This window comes from Homo sapiens, chromosome 3, assembly GCF_000001405.40.
Source record: "Homo sapiens chromosome 3, GRCh38.p14 Primary Assembly".
NCBI classification, from domain to species: Eukaryota; Metazoa; Chordata; class Mammalia; order Primates; family Hominidae; genus Homo; species Homo sapiens.
Window position 1 is genome coordinate 153,231,378 of NC_000003.12, and position 23,921 is coordinate 153,255,298.

The 23,921-nt window shown below is 39.6% G+C and overlaps 1 long non-coding RNA gene across 1 annotated transcript in view, besides 1 other annotated feature; it reads left to right on the plus strand.

Moving 5' to 3' along the window:
* The window catches only part of LOC105374164 (uncharacterized), a 67,936-nt gene extending 50,788 nt beyond the window's left edge, over nucleotides 1-17,148 (plus strand). Inside the window, exon 4 of the long non-coding RNA XR_924592.3 lies at nucleotides 16,070-17,148. This is a non-coding gene — a long non-coding RNA (uncharacterized LOC105374164). The remainder of the gene's footprint in view (nucleotides 1-16,069) is intronic.
* Nucleotides 22,963-23,257: a silencer, noted in NCBI's record as "tiled region #1900; HepG2 Repressive non-DNase unmatched - State 24:Quies". NCBI's record gives its function as "represses a minimal TATA promoter and a strong SV40 promoter by Sharpr-MPRA in HepG2 cells {active_cell/tissue: HepG2}" and the evidence as "EXISTENCE:reporter gene assay evidence [ECO:0000049][PMID:27701403]".

Below are 23,921 nucleotides of genomic sequence, written 5' to 3' on the forward strand. Positions count from 1 at the left end.
CACAGAAATAAGGGGTTGGGGCACAGAGATAAGAGGTTGGGGCATGGAAATAAGGGATCAGGGCACAGAGATAAGAGGTTGGGGCATGGAAATAAGGGATCAGGGCACAGAGATAAGAGGTTGGGACATGGAAATAAGGGATCGGGGTGCAGAGATAAGGGGTCAGGGTGCAGAAATAAGGGATCGGGGGGGTTCTTGCCCCCAAGAAAAGCAGAGAAGGGGTAGAGACAGGGAGAGAAGGGGTCAGGGTTCTTTCCCCTCCCCCAGAAAAGCGGGACTTGCCGCTAAGGGTGAAGGACCAAGGCAGGCATCCCTGCGTGGTTAGACATCTCTTAAACATGGGTTAATAATCAGGCATCCCTGCAATGATTAAACACCAAGGGAAGGCTGCCTTCCCGAGTCCGTGACCAGCGCCGGAGTTTTGGGTCCACGGATAAAACGTGTGTCCTTTGCCTCTACCAGAAAATGAAAGAAATTGAAATTAAGAGAAGGGAGAGATTGAAGGGTGGCGCCAAGATTGAAAGGAGAAAGTGGTTGAGGGATAGTGAGAGAGGTTGGAGAACAGAGTAAGAAGAGGACGCTTACCCGATTTAAAATTGGTGAGATGTTCCTTGGGCTGGTGGGTCTGAGGACCTGAGGTCGTAGGTGGATCTTTTTCACGGAGCAAAGAGCAGGAGGACAGGGGATTGATCTCCCAAGGGAGGTCCCCCGATCTGAGTCACGGCACCAAATTTCATGCGCGTCCGTGTGAAGAGACCACCAAACAGGCTTTGTGTGAGCAATAAAGCTTTTTATCACCTGGGTGCAGGCGGGCTGAGTCCGAAAAGAGAGTCAGCGAAGGGAGACATGGGTGGGGCCATTTTATAAGATTTGGGTAGGTAAAGGAAAGTTATAGTCAAAGGGGGGTTGTTCTCTGGCGGGCAGGTGTGGGGGTCACAAGGTGCTCAGTAGGGGAGCTTTTGAGCCAGGATGAGCCAGGAGAAGGAATTTCACAAGATAATGTCATCAGTTAAGGCACGAACAGGCCATTTTCACTTCTTCTGTGGTGGAATGTCATCAGTTAAGGCAGGAACTGGCCATCTGGATGTGTACTACGTGCAGGTCACAGGGGATATGATGGCTTAGCTTGGGCTCAGAGGCCTGACAATCCATCTTAATGACCTAATCACTTCTTAAAGGCACTACCTCTCAACAAAGCCACACTGGGGAACAGGCTTCAACATGAGTTTTGGTGGGAACAAACTATTTTTAAACCATAATAGGTGGTAAATAGAAAATTAACAAATTGAGTAAATGTCTCCCTGATAATTATCTTGAACATTATGGTTTCAGGGACTGAGAGAGAGTTGTACTTCTCCCATGATAGCTAAATTTTATTAAGTAAATATTTGATTAAGAGTTTAAAAGGCATTATCTTGAAATGTGAGTCCATGGCTTTAGAAAAGATAGAGATAAAAGGAAATGAGTGAAATTTAGTGCATCTCTCTTTTAAGAGCAAGATTTTGTTTACAAGATCTTTGCATGAGCCAAGTTTAACTAATGGCAACAGTGTTTGTTGTAGCTTTTATTATTCCTGGATGTCCTGAGGATATAACTTAAAAGTATTTTAATGCTACTAAAACTGCTAAGCTTAACATGAGTTTTTCAATCATGAAAGAATTTTCTACTTGTTTGGTTCCTTATGATAGAATTATTCTTGGACTAAAATGTAAACTGCGCATTAAAAAAATATTTAGTTGTTTGATATTTCTGACCCACACAATGTAGGATCCACATCTAAAGAACAGAAATTTGGTGATGAGTCATATGGAAAATAAATCTGAGTGTTTTTCAGGGCAAAGGAATTTAGCAGTGATGTTGTAAAAATAGGCGAACTTAACTGTGCCTCGTCTGCAAGAAATGTTTTCTTCTTTCTTCCACTTAATCTCCCACAGATTATATACTAAATCTAGAAAGGTTTGCTATTTTTAAAATAATTATACTTAACGCAAGAAGCAACAAAGGCCAATCTGAAAAATTATTATCATTATTATTACTATTATTATTTTTGAGAAAGAGTCTTGCTGTGTTGCCTAGGCTGGAGTGCAGTGGTGCCATCTCAGCTCACTGCAACCTCCGCTTCCTGGGCTTAAGGGATCCTCCCAAGTCAGCCTCCCAAGTAGCTGGGACTACACAATGCTTGGCTGATTTTTGTGTTTTTGTAGACATGAGGTTTCTCTATGTTGCCCAGGCTGGTCTCGAACTTCTGGGCTCAAGCAATCCATCCGCCTCAGCATCCCAAAGTGCTGGGATTACAGGTGTGAACCACCACGACCAGCCCACTTTTTTTCCCCCTTCTACTGGTTTTCATTATACAATTAGAAATTATCCCTTCAAGTCCTCAAATGTGCAGTTGAAACTTTTATTGGAAGAGATAAGAAGGCAGAAAAATCTGGGCCACAACAGACCTGATAGTACTTAGAGAATTGTAGTTTCCACTTACATCCTAAACTCATAATGTCCCTTCTCTGATTAGCTACTTTAACCCACAAGTCAGTCTCCCTAGTCAGAGGGAATCCCTATTCCACTCACAAATGCTCCAGCTCATGCTTGGCTTTCTGACTGCACAGGTGCAATCTTGATGCAAATAGGCCTCCTTAATACTTTAATGTGCATTAGAACTGCCTGGAGGACTTGTTAAAACACAGCTTGCTGAGGCCTCACTCTTGGAGCTCCTGATTCATTAGGTCTGGAGCAGCACCTGAAAAGTAGCATTGCTAGCAAATTCTTAGATAACATTCATGCTGCCATTCTGGAAACTCCATTTGGGAACCAGTAGTGTGATGCCAAGAGACCAGAAGTAGAGAGTTAAGAAATCTTGTCTTTATTTGCTTTCATAACTTCCTGCCACTGAAAGTACCTGTCCCTGGTTTACTCATTTGTAAAACAAAGGAATTGAGCTGGTAAATCCTTGCTCAGTACAGGCATTTTGCACTTTACAGGTCTTGTGTTTTGCCCAAAATGAAGGTTTGTGGCAACCCTGTGTATACTAAGTCTATTGGCACCATTTTTCGAACAGCATGATTGCATACTCTGTATCTCTATGTCACATTTTGGTAATTCTTGGAATATTTCAAAATTTTCGTGATTATCATATCTGTTATGTTGATCTGTGATTGGTAATCTTTGATACTAATAATAATTATTTTGGGGTGCCATGAGCCTCACTCATATAAGACAGCAGACTTAATTGATAAATATTATGTGTGTTCTGACTGCTCTACTCACTGGGTGTTCCTTCATCTTTCTTTTCCTCAGGCCCCTCTATTCTCTGAAACATAACAATATTGAAATTAAGCCAGCCGGGCACGGTGGCTCGCGCCTGTAATCCCAGCACTTTAGGAGGCCAAGGTGGGTGGATCACCTGAGGTTGGGAGTTCAAGACCAGCCTGACCAACATGGAGAAACCCCGTCTCTACTAAAAATACAAAATTAGCCAGGTGTGGTGGTGCATGCCTGTAATCCCAGCTACTCAGGAGGCTGAGGCAGGAGAATTACTTGAACCTGGGAGGTGGAGTTTGCAATGAGCCGAGATCGTGCCATTGCACTACAGCCTGGGCAACAAGAGTGAAACTCCGTCTCCAGGAGAAAAAAAAAAAAAAAAAAAAAATTAAGCCAGTTGGCTGGGCATGGTGGCTCACATCTATAATCCCAGCACTTAGGAAGGCCAAGGTGGGAAGATCACCTGAGGTCAGAGTTCAAGACCAGCCTGACCAACATGGTGAAACCCCATCTCTACTAAAAATACAAAATTAGCCGGTTGTGGTGGCACATGCCTGTAATCTCAGCTACTCAGGAGACTGAGGCAGGAGAATTGCTTGAACCCAGGAGGTGGAGGTTGCAGTGAGCCAAGATTGTGCCATTGCACTCTAGCCTGGGCAATGAGAGCGAAACTCTGTCTCAAAAAAAAAAAGAAAAAAAAGAAATGAAGCCAGTTAACAACCCTACAATGGCCTCTCAGTGTTCAAATGAGAGTCACGTGTCTCCCACTTTAAATCAAAAGCTGGAAATAATTAAGTTTAGTGTGAGGAAGGCATGTCAAAAGCCAAGATAGGCTGAAAGCTAGGCCTCTTGTGAAGAACAGTTAGTCAAGTTCTGAATGCAAAGGAAAAGTTCTTGAAGGGAGTTAAAAATGCTGCTCCAGTGAACACAAGAGTAACAAGAAAGCAAAAGAGACATTGCTGATACGGAGAAAGGTAGAGTGGTCTAGATAGAAGATAAAACCAGCCACAACCCTCCCTTCAGCTAAAGCCTAATCCAGAGCAAGGCTCTAACTCTTTTTTTTTTTTTTTTTTTTTTGCCATACCTATACCAATTTATTTGGAATTCTATCTTGGCTTTTTTTTTTTTTTCTTTATACTTTAAGTTTTAGGGTACATGTGCACATTGTGCGGGTTAGTTACATATGTATACATGTGCCATGCTGGTGCGCTGCACCCACTAACTCGTCATCTAGCATCAAGTATATCTCCCAGTGCTATCCCTCCTGCCTCCCCCCACCCCACAACAGTCCCCAGAATGTGATATTCCCCTTCCTGTGTACATGTGATCTCATTGTTCAATTCCTACCTATGAGTGAGAATATGCGGTGTTTGGTTTTTTGTTCTTGTGATAGTTTACTGAGAATGATGATTTCCAATTTCATCCATGTCCCTACAAAGGACATGAACTCATCATTTTTTATGGCTGCATAGTATTCCATGGTGTATATGTGCCACATTTTCTTAATCCAGTCTACCATTGTTGGACATTTGGGTTGGTTCCAAGTCTTTGCTATTGTGAATAGTGCCGCAATAAACATACGTATGCATGTGTCTTTATAGCAGCATGATTTATAGTCATTTGGGTATATACCCAGTAATGGGATGGCTGGGTCAAATGGTATTTCTAGTTCTAGATCCCTGAGGAATCTCCACACTGACTTCCACAATGGTTGAACTAGTTTACAGTCCCACCAACAGTGTAAAAGTGTTCCTATTTCTCCACATCCTCTCCAGCACCTGTTGTGTCCTGACTTTTTAATGATTGCCATTCTAACTGGTGTGAGATGGTATCTCATTGTGGTTTTGATTTGCATTTCTCTGATGGCCAGTGATGATGAGCATTTTTTCATGTGTCTTTTGGCTGCATAAATGTCTTCTTTTGAGAAGTGTCTGTTCATGTCCTTTGCCCACTTTTTGATGGGGTTGTTTGTTTTTTTCTTATAAATTTGTTTGAGTTCATTGTAGATTCTGGATATTAGCCCTTTGTCAGATGAGTAGGTTGCAAAAATTTTCTCCCATTTTGTAGGTTGCCTGTTCACTCTGATGGTAGTTTCTTTTGCTGTGCAGAAGCTCTTTAGTTTAATTAGATCCCATTTGTCAATTTTGGCTTTTGTTGCCATTGCTTTTGGTGTTTTGGACATGAAGTCCTTGCCCATGCCTATGTCCTAAATGGTAATGCCTAGGTTTTCTTCTAGGGTTTTTATGGCTTTAGGTCTAACGTTTAAGTCTCTAATCCATCTTCAATTAATTTTTGTATAAGTTGTAAGGAAGGGATCCAGTTTCAGCTTTCTACATATAGCTAGCCAGTTTTCCCAGCACCATTTATTAAATAGGGAATCCTTTCCCCATTGCTTGTTTTTCTCAGGTTTGTCAAAGATCAGATAGTTGTAGATATGTGGCGTTATTTCTGAGGGCTCTGTTGTGTTCCATTGATCTATATCTCTGTTTTGGGACCAGTACCATGCTGTTTTGGTTACTGTAGCCTTGTAGTATAGTTTGAAGTCAGGTAGTGTGATGCCTCCAGCTTTGTTCTTTTGGCTTAGGATTGCCTTGGCAATGCGGGCTCTTTTTTGGTTCCATATGAACTTTAAAGTAGTTTTTTCCAATTCTGTGAAGAAAGTCATTGGTAGCTTGATGGGGATGGCATTGAATCTGTAAATTACCTTGGGCAGTATGGCCATTTTCACGATATTGATTCTTCCTACCCATGAGCATGGAATGTTCTTCCATTTGTTTGTATCCTCTTTTATTTCATTGAGCAGTGGTTTGTAGTTCTCCTTGAAGAGGTCCTTCACATCCCTTGTAAGTTGGATTCCTAGGTATTTTATTCTCTTTGAAGCAGTTGTGAATGGGAGTTCACTCATGATTTGGCTCTCTGTTTGTCTCTTGTTGGTGTATAAGAATGCTTGTGATTTTTGTACATTGATTTTGTATCCTGAGACTTTGCTGAAGTTGCTTATCAGCTTAAGGAGATTTTGGGCTGAGACAGTGGGGTTTTCTAGATATACAATCATGTCGTCTGCAAACAGGGACAATTTGACTTCCTCTTTTCCTAATTGAATACCCTTTATTTCCTTCTCCTGCCTAATTGCCCTGGCCAGAACTTCCAACACTATGTTGAATAGGAGTGGTGAGAGAGGGCATCCCTGCCTTGTGCCAGTTTTCAAAGGGAATGCTTCCAGTTTTTGCCCATTCAGTATGATATTGGCTGTGGGTTTGTCATAGATAGCTCTTATTATTTTGAAATACGTCCCATCAATACCTAATTTATTGAGAGTTTTTAGCATGACGGGTTGTTGAATTTTGTCAAAGGCTTTTTCTGCATCTATTGAGATAATCATGTGGTTTTTGTCTTTGGCTCTGTTTATATGCTGGATTACATTTATTGATTTGCGTATATTGAACCAGCCTTGCATCCTAGGGATGAAGCCCACTTGATCATGGTGGATAAGCTTTTTGATGTGCTGCTGGATTCAGTTTGCCAGTATTTTATTGAGGATTTTTGCATCAATGTTCATCAAGGATATTGGTCTAAAATTCTCTTTTTTGGTTGTGTCTCTGCCTGGCTTTGGTATCAGAATGATGCTGGCCTCATAAAATGAGTTAGGGAGGATTCCCTCTTTTTCTATTGATTGGAATAGTTTCAGAAGGAATGGTACCAGTTCCTCCTTGTACCTCTGGTAGAATTCGGCTGTGAATCCAACTGGTCCTGGACTGTTTTTGGTTGGTAAACTATTGATTATTGCCACAATTTCAGCTCCTGTTATTGGTCCATTCAGAGATTCAACTTCTTCCTGGTTTAGTCTTGGGAGAGTGTATGTGTCGAGGAATTTATCCATTTCTTCTAGATTTTCTAGTTTATTTGCGTAGAGGTGTTTGTAGTATTCTCTGATGGTAGTTTGTATTTCTGTGGGATCGGTGTTGATATCCCCTTTATCATTTTTTATTGTGTCTATTTGATTCTTCTCTCTTTTTTCTTTATTAGTCTTGCTAGCGGTCTATCAATTTTGCTGATCCTTTCAAAAAACCAGCTCTTGGATTTATTAATTTTTTGAAGGGTTTTTTGTGTCTCTATTTCCTTCAGTTCTGCTCTGATTTTAGTTATTTCTTGGCTTCTGCTAGCTTTTGAATGTGTTTGCTCTTGCTTTTCTAGTTCTTTTAATTGTGATGTTAGGGTGTCAAGTTTGGATCTTTCCTGCTTTCTCTTGTGGGCATTTAGTGCTATAAATTTCCCTCTACACACTGCTTTGAATGCGTCCCAGAGATTCTGGTATGTTGTGTCTTTGTTCTCGTTGGTTTCAAAGAACATCTTTATTTCCGCCTTCATTTCGTTATGTACCCAGTAGTCATTCAGGAGCAGGTTGTTCAGTTTCCATGTAGTTGAGCGGTTTTGAGTGAGATTCTTAATCCTGCGTTCTAGTTTGATTGCACTGTGGTCTGAGAGATAGTTTGTTATACTCTCTGTTCTTTTACATTTGCTGAGGAGAGCTTTACTTCCAAGTATGTGGTCAATTTTGGAATAGGTGTGGTGTGGTGCTGAAAAAAATGTATATTCTGTTGATTTGGGGTGGAGAGTTCTGTAGATGTCTATTAGGTCCGCTTGGTGCAGAGCTGAGTTCAATTCCTGGGTATGCTTGTTGACTTTCTGTCTCATTGATCTGTCTAATGTTGACAATGGGGTGTTAAAGTCTCCCATTATTAATGTGTGGGAGTCTAAGTCTCTTTGTAGGTCACTCAGGACTTGCTTTATGAATCTGGGTGCTCCTGTATTGGGTGCATATATATTTAGGATAGTTAGCTCTTCTTGTTGAATTGATCCCTTTGCCATTATGTAATGGCCTTCTTTGTCTCTTTTGATCTTTGCTGGTTTAAAGTCTGTTTTATCAGAGACTAGGATTGCAACCCCTGCCTTTTTTCGTTTTCCATTTGCTTGGTAGATCTTCCTCCATCCTTTTATTTTGAGCCTATGTGTGTCTCTGCACGTGAGATGGGTTTCCTGAATACAGCACACTGATGGGTCTTGACTCTTTATCCAATTTGCCAGTCTGTGTCTTTTAATTGGAGAATTTAGTCCATTTACATTTAAAGTTAATATTGTTATGTGTGAATTTGATCCTGTCATTATGATGTTAGCTGGTGATTTTGCTCGTTAGTTGATGCAGTTGCTTCCTGGTCTCGATGGTCTTTACATTTTGGCATGATTTTGCAGTGGCTGGTACTGGTTGTTCCTTTCCATGTTTAGCGCTTCCTTCAGGAGCTCTTTTAGGGCAGGCCTGGTGGTGACAAAATCTCTCAGCATTTGCTTGTCTGTAAAGTATTTTATTTCTCCTTCACTTATGAAGCTTAGTTTGGCTGGATATGAAATTCTGGGTTGAAAATTCTTTTCTTTAACAATGTTGAATATTGGCCCACACTCTCTTCTGGCTTGTAGAGTTTCTGCCGAGAGATCCGCTGTTAGTCTGATGGGCTTTCCTTTGAGGGTAACCCGACCTTTCTCTCTGGCTGCCCTTAACATTTTTTCCTTCATTTCAACTTTGGTGAATCTGATAATTATGTGTCTTGGAGTTGCTCTTCTCGAGGAGTATCTTTGTGGCGTTCTCTGTATTTCCTGATTCTGAACGTTGGCCTGCCTTGCTAGATTGGGGAAGTTCTCCTGGATAATATCCTGCAGAGTGTTTTCCAACTTGGTTCCATTCTCCCCGTCACTTTCAGGTACACCAATCAGACGTAGATTTGGTCTTTTCACATAGTCCCATATTTCTTGGAGGCTTTGCTCATTTCTTTTTATTCTTTTTTCTCTAAACTTCCCTTCTCGCTTCATTTCATTCATTTCATCTTCCATTGCTGATACCCTTTCTTCCAGTTGATCGCATCAGCTCCTGAGGCTTCTGCATTCTTCACGTAGTTCTCGAGCCTTGGTTTTCAGCTCCATCAGCTCCTTTAAGCACTTCTCTGTATTGGTTATTCTAGTTATACATTCTTCTAAATTTTTTTGAAAGTTTTCAACTTCTTTGCCTTTGGTTTGAATGTCCTCCTGTAGCTCAGAGTAGTTTGATCATCTGAAGCCTTCTTCTCTCAGCTTGTCAAAGTCATTCTCCATCCAGCTTTGTTCCATTGCTGGTGAGGAACTGCGTTCCTTTGGAGGAGGAGAGGCGCGCTGCGTTTTAGAGTTTCCAGTTTTTCTGTTCTGTTTTTTCCCCATCTTTGTGGTTTTATCTACTTTTGGTCTTTGATGATGGTGATGTACAGATGGGTTTTTGGTGTGGATGTCCTTTCTGTTTGTTAGTTTTCCTTCTAACAGACAGGACCCTCAGCTGCAGGTCTGTTGGAATACCCTGTTATGTGAGGTGTCAGTGTGCCCCTGCTGGGGGGTGCCTCCCAGTTAGGCTGCTCAGGGGTCAGGGGTCAGGGACCCACTTGAGGAGGCAGTCTGCTGGTTCTCAGATCTCCAGCTGCATGCTAGGAGAACCACTGCTCTCTTCAAAGCTGTCAGACAGGGACATTTAAGTCTGCAGAGGTTACTGCTGTCTTTTTGTTTGTCTGTGCCCTGCCCCCAGAGGTGGAGCCTACAGAGGCAGGCAGGCCTCCTTGAGCTGTGGTGGGCTCCACCCAGTTCGAGCTTCCCGTCTGCTTTGTTTACCTAAGCAAGCCTGGGCAATGGCGGGCGCCCCTCCACCAGCCTCGCTGCCGCCTTGCAGTTTGATTTCAGACTGCTGTGCTAGCAATCAGCGAGACTCCGTGGGCGTAGGACCCTCTGAGCCACGTGCGGGATATAATCTCGTGGTGCGCCGTTTTTTAAGCCGGTCCAAAAAGCGCAATATTCGGGGGGGAGTGAGCTGATTTTCCAGGTGCGTCCGTCACCCCTTTCTTTGACTTGGAAAGGGAACTCCCTGACCCCTTGTGCTTCCCGAGTGAGGCAATGCCTCGCCCTGCTTCGGCTCGCGCGCGGTGCATGCACCCACTGACCTGCGCCCACTGTCTGGCACTCCCTAGTGAGATGAACCCGGTACCTCAGATGGAAATGCAGAAATCACCCGTCTTCTGCGTCGCTCACGCTGGGAGCTGTAGACCGGAGCTGTTCCTATTTGGCCATCTTGGCTCCTCTCTAACTCTTTTTAATTCTGTGAAGTGTGAGAGAGGTGGAGAAGCTGCAGAAAAAAGGTTTGAAGCTAGTAGAGATTGGTTCTTGAAGCTTGCGGAAAGAAGCCATCTCCATAACGTAAAAGTTCAAGATGATGCAGCAAGTACAATGTAAAAGCTACAGCATTCTCCAAAAGATCTAGCTGAGGTCATTAGTGAAGGTGGCTACACTGAATGACAGATTTTCAATGTAGATGAAACAGCCTTCTATTGGAAGAAGATGCCGTCTAGGACTTTCATAGCTAGAAAGGAGAAGTCAATGCCTGGCTTCAAAGAACAGGCTGACTCTTGTTAGTGGCTAATGTAGCTGGTAACTTTAAGTTGAAGCCAATGCTCATTTACTATTCTGAAAATCCTAGGATCCTTAAGAATTATGCAATATTTACTCTGCTCATGCTCTGTAAATGGAAGAACGAAGCCCAGATGACCACACATTTGTTTACAGCATGATTTACTGAATATTTTAAGCTTGTTGTTGAGACCTACTCTCAGAAAAAAGATTTTTTGTTTTCAAAAGATTACTGCTCATTGACAAATTCACCTGGTCACTCAAGAACTCTGATGGAGATGTACAGGTATGTGAATGTTGTTTTTATGCCTGCAGACACTACATGCATTCTGCAACCCATGAATCAAGGAATAATTTTAACTTTCAAGTCTTATTATTTAAGAATTAAATTTTGTAAGGCTGTGGGTGCCATAGATATTGTTTCCTCTGATAGTTCTGGGCAAAGTAAATTGAAAACTTCTAGAAAGGATTCAGCATTCTAGATTTGTGATTTATGGGAGAAGGTCCAAATATTGACCTTAACAGGAGTTTGGAAGAAGTTGGTTTTAACATTTATGGTTGACTTTGAGGAGTTTAAAACTTCAGTGGAGAAAGTCCCTGCAGATGTGGTGAAAATAGCAGAACAAGAATTAAAACTGGAGCCTGAAAATGTGACTGAATTGCTACAATCTCATAATAAAATCTGAATGGACAAAGAATTTCTTCTAGTGGATGAGCAAAGAAACTAATTGCCTGAGATGGAAAGTACTCCTGGCGAGGATGCTGTGAACATTGTTGGAAAGACAACTAAGGATTGAGAGAATTACATGAACTTAGTTGATGAAGTAGCAGCAGGGTTTGAGACGACTGACTCCAATTTTGAAAGAAATGCTACTGTGGGTAAAATGCTATCAAACAGCATCTCATGCTACAGAGAAAGCTTTCATGAAAGAGAGTCAATCAAGTTGGCAAATTTCCTTGCTGTCTTAAGAAATTGCCACAGCCTTTAGCACCTACCACCCTGATTAGTCAGCAGCCAACCACATTGAGGCAAGACCCTTCAACCAGCAAAAAGATTGCGACTCACTGAAGGCTCAGGTGATTGTTAGCATTTTATAGCAATAAAGTATTTTAAAATTAAGATATATACATTATTTTTTAGATACAATGCTATTGTACATTTAACTGACTACAGTATAGTGTAAATATACTTTTATATATGCTGGGAAACCATAACATTTGTGTGACTTGCTTTATTGCAATATTTGCTTTATTGTGATGGTCTGGAACTGAACCTGCAATACCTCTGAGGTATGCTTGTGTTTATCGATGATTTTTCTTTCTATGTAATCTATGCCATCGATTCATGGCACCCTTCTAGGAGTAAAAAAATGTATTCCAACAGTCATTTCAAATTGTGAACCTCTCCTTTGGGGGTACATCGCAGTCTCCTTGAAGGTATTAGAGGGACTAATTAGAAAAAGCATTTCACGGTGCCTGTAGTCCCAGCTACTAGGGAGGCTGAGGCAGGAGAATGGCGTGAACCTGGGAGGCGGAGCTTGCAGTCAGCCGAGATCGCGCCACTGCACTCCAGCCTGGCAAACAGACTGAGACTTCGTCTCAAAAAAAAAAAAAAAAAAGCGGCTCACTTATTTCATGAAATAAAATACTTTACAATCAAAGTTTTAGATCAGAGCTTCCCACAAAAATCCCACGAAAAGTAAGTATGCCGAGATATGGGTCTTTTCTAGGTAGTCCATCTTTAGAAAAGTCTTTTCACCCTAATATGCCATAAATACATTGTGATTTTCTTTCTTTCTTTCTTTCTTTTCTTTTTTTTTTTTTTTGAGTTGGAGTTTCCCTCTATTGCCCAGACAGGAGTCCAGTGGCATGATCTTGGCTCACTGCAGCCTCTGCCTCCCAGGTTCAAGCAGTTCTCTCCCTCAGCCTCCCAAGTAGCTGGGATTACAGGTGCATGCCACCATACCCAGCTAATTTTTGTATTTTTATAGAGACGAGGTTTCGTTATGTTGGCCAGACTGGTCTTGAACTCCTTGCTTCAAGCGATCCTCCTGCCTTGGACTGCCAAAGTGCTGGGGTTACGGTCATGAGCCACTGCGCCTGGCCGTATTTTCTTTTTACCATGCTGTAACAAGAGTTTGGGAAGCACCATTAGGTTAAGTAAAACAACTTTGTTTTTTCATCTGTTCTGTAGTTCTGATATCTTTTATATATAATTTATTTAAGAAAGAGGTCCGCTATATTAAAAAGACTGACTGTGGTACGTTAACTTAGTTTTTCAAATGTTAGTTGGCATCATTCTTGATTCATTTTACTTTGAAGCAGTTTAGTAGAGTATGGAAGAGATGATTTCATTTCTCTGAATCTGCCTGAGAGAGAATCTGCCCCTTCTAGCACTGCAATTTTTTTGTGTGTATCCATCAGCCACACTCTGTGTACAGTACATAATAACAAATGGAAGGCTGGGATTAAAAGGAAGTGGGGCTCCTGTAAGTGTGTGCACATGTACAGTGGCTGGAGTTTGGGAATGGAGAATAGAGAAGAATGGTGCTGAGGTCCTTGGGTTGGACTTTCAAATTTCCTGAAGGCATGGAAAATGCTACCAGCCGGATCTGTCTCTTCACCGGAAATCCCATAGGATTCGGATAGGGGCTGGATATATTGCTCTGTCTCCTCAGGGACTAGAACGGTGCTTGGAACAAGATGGATGCTTAGAAGATGTCTTCAAATATCTTCATAAAGGCTTGGCAAAGATCACTAGGTTCCAACCTATTGTCTGGGAACGTATATTATTTACAGTTCATATAAGAGAAGCCACAACGCGAGAAATGGTGTGGTACAGAATGGAATATTTTACTGTACAAAATAAGCAGACTTATTCTACCAGTTCTCCTTCCTCTATCAACTCATTTCAACTTATTTTGTAGATGATCTAATTCCAGTTTGTTTTTAGAAAAACAGTGTTCTGTTATCTTGACATAGAATTAGTCTTCAAATGTATGTCACCCCACCCTTTTGTATAGTAAATTTAAAGAGGCTTTTTACTTGCTGAAGTGTTGTGTAATGTAATACTTATGAAATAGTTTAAACTGACTCAGTCTTCTCAGAGAGCTGTTCACCACCACCAATGACGTTGTCTGCGATGAAAAACTTACATTAAAACTCTGTATCATTTTATAAAACCAAATATCTAACAGCCAACTGATCTTATTGACACGGTTGACAAAAATACACACTGGGAAAAAGACACCCTTTTCAATAAATGGTGCTGGGAAAATTGAATCACCATATGCAGAAGAATGAAACTGGACCCCTGTCTCTCACTATCTACAAAAATCAACGAAGAGGGATAAAAGACTTAAAAGTAACACCTGAATCTATAAAAATGTTAGGAGAAAATCTAGGGAAAACTATTCTGGACATTGGTCTAGGCAAAGAATTCATGACTAAGACCTCAAAAGCGTGGGCAACAAAACCAAAAATAGACAAATGGGACTTAATTAACTGAAAAGCTTCTGCAGAGCAAAAGAAATAATCAACAGAGTGAACAGACAATCTGCAGAATGGGAGAAAATATTTGCAAACTATTAATATGAAAGGAGACTGATATTTAGAATATACAATGAACTCAAACAATGAGAAAAACACATATCATCCCATTACAAAGTGGGCAAAGGACATGAATATAAATTTTGCAAAGAAGACATACAAATGACCAAGAAGCACATGAAAAATGCTGAACATCGCGAATCATCAGAGAAATGCAAAATAAAACCACAATGAGACACCATCTTACACCAGTCAGAATGGCTATAATAAAAAGTCAAAAAATAACAGATGTTGTTGAGGATGCAGAGAATAGGGAATGCTTATACACTGTTGGTGGGAGTGCAAATTAGTACAGACCCTGTGGAAAACAGTATGGAGATTTCTCAGAAAACTAAAATTAGACCCACCATGAAACCTAGCAATCCCTCTACTGAAATGCCCAGAGGAAAAACAATCATTACATAAAAAGATACCTATTGTGTAAAAAAAAAGATACCTGCACTTGTATGTTACAGTAGCATTATTCACAATAACAAAGATATGGAATCAGCCTAGGTGTCCATCAATGGTTGGGTGGTTAAAGCAAATGTGATATATATATATATATATATGTGATATATATATATATATATGTGTGATATATATATATATATATGTGTGATATATATATATATATATATATGCAATGGAATACTATTCAGTCATAAAAAAGAATAAAATCATTTCTTTTGACTGGAGGTGATTATCTTAAGTGGAGCAATTCAGAAACAGAAAGTCAAATACATGTTCTCACTTATAAGTGGGAGTGAAATAATATATACACATGGACATAGAATGTAGAATAATAGTCATTGGAGAGTTGGAAAAGCGGAAGGGGATAAGGGAAGAGAAATTACTTAATGGGTACAATGTACAGTATTTGGTTGATGGTTACACTAAAAATCCAGACTTCACCATTATGCAATATATCCATGTAACAAAACTTCCCTTGTACCATTTAAATTTATACACACACACACACACACACACACACACACACATATAAAGCTTTGTAGCATTTTATATTGGAACAGAAATGATTTTCACACACTGTGAACAAAATTAATTGATAAAAATCTTCGTATTTGTGGTAGTAACTAAAAAAAAAGCAGTGTAATTCATAGAATACCAAACTGATGTTTAACTTTAATCATTTTTAGCAGGGGGAAAGCAGGTTACAACATTGTGGTTAGTCCTTTCAAAAGACAGACAAAGTCTAGAGTGGATATGAGGCTACCCTAGCTTCCAATTGGAAAAAGAAAAAAATCACTTTCCTGGAACTCAATTCCACTTTTTGCTTCTCCTCCAAACTTCACTTCTCAGTTTATATTACTCATTACTGGTAATTCTGTGTTTGACTCTGGTTGGGCATGCTTTTGAAATGGCCAACCATGTATTATTTTTATTTAACATTGCTTCAGGCTTAAAAGAGTCTGAGGATCACTGTTGGTTGACAGGAGACTCTTCCAGATGTACATTCCAACAGATATGGAATTCGATTTTTTAATAGTCACATCTGCTTAATATGAGCCAGTCTTCCTATCAAGAGAGAAATATCAATTACTATTTTGTACCTTTCTACACTTTTCTGGTTTTCTTAAGACTATTTCTACTATTATTCTCTTGAATATTAAAAACAAGTATACTGCTACATAACATCTTACTGAGGCATACCAACACCATCATCCCCAAAAGCTTCACTTGCCATCTTATAGTTCTTCATCTAATTCTTGTCTATTTTATCTTTCAGTAGGATTTCCAGCTCCTAGAAGACAGAAATCATGTTGTTCATCTTTTGCATCCTTCCCAGAATCTAGTGGAGCACTGAGCATCATGTGAGTAGTCAATAAACAATTGTTGAGTCATGTTGCATTGAATTAAAAATCTCCACTTTCCCGGTGTTAATTGAAAAAGTAATGGAAAATACCCCTGCTTCTGTAGTCTGAGACTATTATCAAAAGTAATTATTATCAGATGAACTAACATTACAGGGAAGGAAAAGCCAAAAACCAAATTAAATAGCACAAAGAAACGTTAGAAGAAAAACAATGTCCCTTTAACCAGTTCTGTCTGAGCTGCAGAAAGGGGATGTTTGGTGAATGTTTGGTAAATGTTACAACACCCGTGATCTCTTGTGATTGTCACATGTACCAGCAGCATAGAGCAGACAGATTTTTAAAATATATATAAATATATATATTTATTTAAAGTCTGAAGTTCTAATAAAAAGTTCTGTGTTTATTTTATACCATTTCTTTGAAGTTTTAGTAAGCTGGTGTGTGAAAGTAATTTTCCACATCTATGACTAATTTCTAAATACTAATTCAGTGCTTTAGACATTGGATTTTACTACGTATTCTCCTCCCTATTGTAAACCTTGTGAGTGTCATGTGCAGGAAGAAAGACAGGGAGAACAGTGTCTTCTGTGCACTTTAGCAGTATCACATGGGCTTCCTTGATCCAGCAGGCTTGGGCTTCCTATTCGAAAACTGCGCCCTCATATTTTTCTAGACGATGCATTTACTAGCTTCTGGTTTTTAAAATCAACTTGTTAATTTTTTTGTCTTTATAGTTAAATTATTAAATCTTTCACTTTGTACATTTTCTTGTGTCTTTCCCAGTATCTAGTGGAGTCATAAGCATCCTGTTTATATTCAGTACACAATTGTTAAATCATGTTGACTTGAATTTAAAATTGAAAAGGAATTTTAAAATACTATTTTTTGTTTCCAGGGTGAAAGTTTTGCACAGGATCTATTAAATAATATTATAAAATGGTTAAGCAAAATAGCAGTTTTACTAAAACTGGGCATTGCATATATATACAGTCAGGCCTTGCTATTTCCTGTAACATTTGTCTTATATCTTTTACATAAAGATGTCTCTGGAAATACACCAAGCACATTTAAAACAGTGTTTGGAATTTTTTGTTGGGTAAGAATGTTTAGGTAATACTATCTGGACTCTTTTTTCTTCTGTTACCTTAGCTTTTTAAAAAACATTTTTTTTTTTAAGTTCTGGGGTACCTGTGCAGGATGTGCAGGTTTGTCACATAGGTAAACATGTGCCGTGGTGGTTTGCTGCACCTATCAACCCACAACCGAGGCATTAAGCCTGGCATGCATTAGCCATTTTTCTTAATGCTCCCTCTCCCCAACCCCACCTCCCAACAGGCCCCAATGTGTGTTGTTCCCCTCCCTGTGTCCATGTGTTCTCATTGTTTGGCTCCTACTTATAAGTGAGAACGTGCAGTGTTTGGTTTTCTGTTCCTACATTAGTTTGCTGAGGTTAACAGCTTCCAGGTCCATCCACATCCCTGCAAAGAACATGATCTCATTCCTTTTTATGGCTGTATAGTATTCCATGGTGTATGTGTACCACATTTTCTTTTTTTTTTCTTTTATTGAGATGGAGTCTCGCTTTGTCACCCAGGCTGGAGTGCAGTGGCCCGATCTGGGCTCACTGCAACCTCCGCCTCCCAGGTTCAAGCGATTCTCCTGCCTCAGCCTGCTGAGGAGCTAGGACTACAGGCACGTGCCACCACACCCGGCTAATTATTTGTATTTTTAGTAGAGACGGGGTTTCATCGTGTTAGCCAGGATGGTCTCGATCTCCTGACCTCGTGATCTGCCCGCCTCAGCCTCCCAAAGTGTTGGGATTACAGGCATGAGCCACTGTGCCCGGCCCACATTTTCTTTATCCAGTCTGTCATTGGTGGCCATTTGGGTTGATTCCATGTCTTTGCTATTGTGAATAGTGCTACCTTACCTTTTAAAAAAGTAAACTCAATTTTTCAAATGTTTGTGAACATTACATGATATGTCATATATATCTGTCCTAGAGATAATCTTACCTGCAGAATTGGTCTAGTAACATAATATCTCGACAACACCCCACTTTCATTTTAAGGGATAATCTATAATCATGAATTCTCAGTCCTTATGAGAGCGATCTCATGCAGATGATGGTATTCTGAATGAGCACAAGTGTATACAAAAGACCAACAGGGAATAAAATTATACTCATATGAAAACGGCTTTTATCTAAATTACAAAAATTGGATTATAAAATAAAGATGGTGGTCTTAGTTTTCTAACACTAAATATTCCCTTTTGTAATCTCATTGGCTCTTGCGCAGTGAAATAAAAATTTGAAACTAGTCTCTGTTTTTTCTTTATATGTAAATATCTCTTATGATTCACTTAATAGGTCACCGTTGTCATTGGCAAAGCTAGAACATTTTATAAAACAGTTATTGTACTAGAACTTTGGCACTATTTAGCAAAATAGCAGGGAGAAGGCAGATTTTGCTGTGCTCATAGATCTTATTAGTTGCCGTTTTGTTGTTGTTGTTGTACATAGCAGGACTGAAAGCAGTGTTTCCCAAAGCATGGTCTGAGGATAATATGGGAAGTTTATAAATTATGCAGATTCCCAGGCATACACAGCCCTATCTAATCAGAACCTCTGGGAGCAGGGCATGGAAATCTACATTAAACCTGTTTCCTCCTCTTGAATTTAAATAAGCATCCTAACTGATTATTATACTCACTAAATAAGAAATCCCTGCCCATAGACTCACATTTAATTTAAGAATATACAATTCATCTTTGGGTAAAGCGTTTTTCATTTTAATATTCCTCTCCACTCAGCATACTTCTGTGTTATTTGTTACTTTCTCTTCCTCTTCTTGCTCCTCTTGCTAAGTTTCATAAAATCTTAGAACTATGTATCACTAGAATTCTTTGGTTATAAGCAATAGAACCTAATTCTGGATAAGCTAAAGCAAAAAATATTACAATTTATGGGATACATTATAGATTTTAAAAAACCCCGAAGAACCAGTGTTAGGAAAAGACAAAAACTAGAGTCATTTCAGATATGTTAAAAGTAGGAAGTACTAACCATACTCAGTGCCTGTGTCACTTTATTCAGATTTCAAGTTGCATTTAAAAAGCACTAGCTTTGCCTAGTTGGTCATGTGTCAATATTCTGACCAGGAAGCAAAACTAAAGGAAACTCTAGAACTATATCCATGCAGTTTTCCAAAGCAAAATAGCAGTACGGTTTTAAGAAGAATGGAGGATTTCTGTGCAGTCAAAAGCAAGTTCACCTCCAAGCAGAAAACTTTAGAGCCATTGGGGGAAAAAGTACTCATTTTATTCAGAAGTCAACTAATTCCTGAGAGTTAGTCAACAAGTATTTATTACACACTTAGTATTCTGAGGCAGGTGCTATATTAGGTGTAAGGACTAAGTAGGAAGAGCTTGTTAAAATAAATAGAAACACTGAATAAGGATACTTTTTTATTTACTTGGACTATTGTTTTCATTAACTAAGGACAATGTGGTAAACATTGCTTTTGCCTGCTGTGTGTTTTTATGGTTCCTGCCTTAAATAGATATGAGGGCTTACAATTTGGTAGTAGTTGAATTAAATAATCATTGAGTGAATAAACTTATGTGATTACAAGTTTTTCTCTAAAGTAGTTGAATATTCTCTCTGAAATTATATTATGTCATATTATATTATATTAGTTTACATTATTTACTTAAACAGACCTTATTACTTCAACCAACTTTTTGAACACCTAATATGTGCTAGCTACTGGGGATAAAGATGTTTCCAGCAATCAGGGAGCTCACATTTATTCTCAGGGAATGCCTTTCTTCAGAGATAATGAAAAGGCAACCTTTAGCCTGGTTTTATATTAATTTAGCCCGTTTCATATTTTGCCCCTTTATATGTCTTTGTCTTCACACAGATTATCCTTTTGCCAAGAATGCTCTATCCCTTCATTTATCCACCTAATGGGTACCAACTTATTCTTCTTATTTAACATCAAAAGACTCTCTGGTGATAGTTTTCTCTAGCTTCTCCTGGTAACTTCTCCCTGTGGCATTTCTTGCCAATATTTCCATTGTGTCATTGCTTACCTGCCTTCTTCCTCATTAGACTCTTAACAGCTTTTCTTCTTCATCTTCTAGAAGCCCAGACCCTCTTTAGCACATGGCTCCAGCCACCATTTCTATACTGAGAATACTCAGAGATATGTCTCCAGATCAGAGACGTTTGGCAAGTTCTGGATGGGTGAGTCTGTTCTTGCGTTGCTATAAAGAACTACCTGAGACTGGGTAATTTATAAAGAAAAGAGGTTTAATTGGTTCACTGTTCTGCAGGGGGTACAGGTATGGCACCAGCATCTGCTCAGCTATTGGTGAGGCCTCAGGAAGCTTACAATCATGACACAAGGTCAAGGGGAGCCAGCGTGTCACATAGCAAGAGAGGGAGCAAGAGAGAGAAGGCAAAGTTGTCAGCCTCTTTTCAATGACCAGATCTCATGTGAACTAACAGAGCGAGAACTCACTGATCACCAAGGGGATGGTACTAAGCCATTCATGAGGAATCCACCCCCATGATTCAACCCCTGCCACTAGACTCTACCTCCAACACTGGGGATCACATTTCAACATAAGATTTGGTGGGAGCACATATCTAAACCATATCACTGGACTTATACAGCAGGCTGCACAATCAGAATTTCCAGTCTTATCTCATGGATCTTTCCCTTGAAACCTGTTTCCTCCTCTTGAACTCTCAATCTGGCTGAACAGTTCTGCCTTATTCCTAGTTTCCCAAGGCAGAAATATGAAATATCCTGTGACTTCTCTCTTTCTCCTTCCACACAGAATGCAAAGCTGTATTTCAGACCCACATGATTTTTTGTCAGGAGAACTTCAACAGCTTCTAAATTAGAGCTGCCTACCCTAGTCTAGCCCCTTCTAATCCATCTTCCAAAGAGATAGCAGGAGTAGACCTTACAAAACCAAACCTGTTTTTCTTATCCCTTTGAAAAACATTTCAAAAGCTCCCTGTAATACCTAAGATAAAATTCAAGTTTCTTTACTTAACAGAAAAACCTCTTCATTATCTACTCCTTCCCATCAGAGTCTAGCTTCTAGGTGTGCCCAATGTGGCAAGTACTGTTGATGCTCTCAAAGTCTCCCCCAGCCATCCTCATTCTAGGATCTTACCTTTGTAGTGAAACTGACTTTCAACTGCCTGAAGTCTTTCTCCCCCAGCAATCCTTAACCAATGAATGAAAAAAGTTGGTGCATAAATAAGTATAGTCATGCATTGCTTAAAGAGGGGGATACGTTCTGAGAAATGTGTTGTTGGGCGACATTGTCATCATGCACACATCATAGAGTGTACTCTCACAAACCTAGATGGTATGGCCTACTACACCTCTAGGCTACATGTTACAGCCTATTGCTCCTGGTTTACAAATCTGTACAGCATGTTACTTTACTGATTATTGTAGGCATTTGTAACACAGTAGTATTTGTGTATCTAAACATAGAAGAGGTACAGTAAAATAGTATAAAAGATAAAAAACGGCATACCTGTACATGGCACTTACCATTAATGGAGCTTGCAGAACTGGAAGTTGCTTTCGGTGAGTCAGTGAGTGAGTGGTGAGTGAACGTGAAGGCCTAAGGCATTACTGTGCACTACTGTGGACTTTATAAGTACTATACACTTAGGCTACATTACATTTACAAAAAAATTTTTTCTTCAGTAAAAAACCTTAGCTGACTGTATCTTTATTACTTTATACACTTTTTAATTTTTTAAACTTTTAGGCTCATTTGTAATAACAGCTTAAAACACAAGCACATTGTTAGAGCTGTATAAAAATATTTTATTTCTTTATATCCTTATTCTATAAGCTTTTTCCTATTTAATTTTTTTTACCTAAAAAAGTTTTATGTTAAAAATGTAGACGAAAACACACACATTAGCCTAGGCCTACACGAGGTCAGGACCATCAATATCACTGTACTCCACTGCCACATCTTGTCCCACTGGAAGGTCTTCAGGGACAATGACGTGCATGGAGCTGTCATCTCCTATGATAACAATGCCTTCTCCTGGAATACCTCTGGAAGGACCTGCCTGAGGCTGTTTGATAGGTAACTTTTTTTTTTTTTTATAAGTAGAAGCGTACACTCTAAAATAACAACAAAAAGTATAGTAAAGTATAATATATTAAATACATAAACCAGTAACATTTATTATATTATCAAACATTGTGTACATAATTGTATGTATTATACTTTTATATGACTGGCAGCAGAGCAGATTTGCTTATATCAGCACCACCACAAATACTTGAATAATGCATTGTACTACAATGGTTACAACAGCTATGATGTCATTAGGTGATAGGAATTTTTCAGCTTTATTATAATCTTTTAGGACCACCATCATGTATGCGGTCCATCACTGACCCAAAGTGGTTATGTGGCACACAGAAAGTTATGTGGCACGTAACTGCTCCGACTCTCTCACACTTGGCTTAAACAACTGTGAGGCCTGTGTTCCGCATCAGCTCCTAGAACTTTCCCGTGTAGATAATTTCCACTTACTCATAGTCCTTTTTTTTTTTTTTTTTTTTTTGAGGCTCGCTGTGTCACCCAGGCTGGACTGCAGTGGCACAATCTCGGCTCACTGCAACCTCCGCCTCGCAGGTTCAAGGCAATTCTCCTGCCTCAGCCTCCCGAGTAGCTGGGATTACAGGGGTTTGCCACCATGCCCAGCTAATTTTTGTATTTTTAGTAGAGACAGGGTTTCACCATGTTGGCCAGGCTGGTCTTGAACTCCTGACTTCAGGAGATTCACCTGCCTCGGCCTCCCGAAGAGCTAGGATTACAGGCGTGAGCTACTGTGCTTGGCCACTCATAGGCTTAAGAGGCTTAATAAAATACCTTTTGTTGGCTGCCTTTCCTTTCCCAGCTTACTTTTCCATACGCCTGCCAGTGTTTCCTGGGATCACCTCATCAATAAACAGTTTGCACTTGAATCCTTAGCACTTCATCTGATTTTGAAGAAGCCAGCTAGGCCACCCAACATGTTTCCTTTGTTTCAGCCAAACGAACACAAAAAAAAGTTCATGTTTTTTTTTTTTTTTTTTAATGTCATGTTTTCCCATAGTTCTTCTGCCCAAAATGATTCTGGCTCCCACCTCCCTTACCTAGCCAAATGGTATTAATTTCTCAAAATTATGTCCATCATCATCTCTTTAAGGGAAGCTTTTCTAAGCACTGATTGAATTGTGGACTGGAAACTCTATCCCACTGCACCTGAACATACCTGTATCGTGGCAGACACCTTAATCCTTGATTTGTTTATTTGACTCCCCAAATAGACTGATCTCCTTGAAAGCAGGGACTAAGATATATTTGGATTTTCAGTCCACCCCACCCCCACAAAATAGGGGAAGATAGCATTGATTAAACTACTAAATGTTTGCTTGAATGAATTGTTTTTATTGAACACATTTATGAATGAATGAGTAAACAAAAAACAAAGCCAACAAGAGCAAATTTTATTAGAGGAAAGAAAATCTACTGTGAAATGAATGTTTATGCAACTAATTTCAAAATTCAGAATAAAAAGTTTTGGCTTATTTGCACGACTGTCCTTCCCAGTAAGTGTGGATAACAGTAACAATACAATTAACACACCCAAAACAATCATTGTCTTAGAGACTGTAAGTGCTTTAAAAAATTACACACTTAATCTTCTTATTGTATATA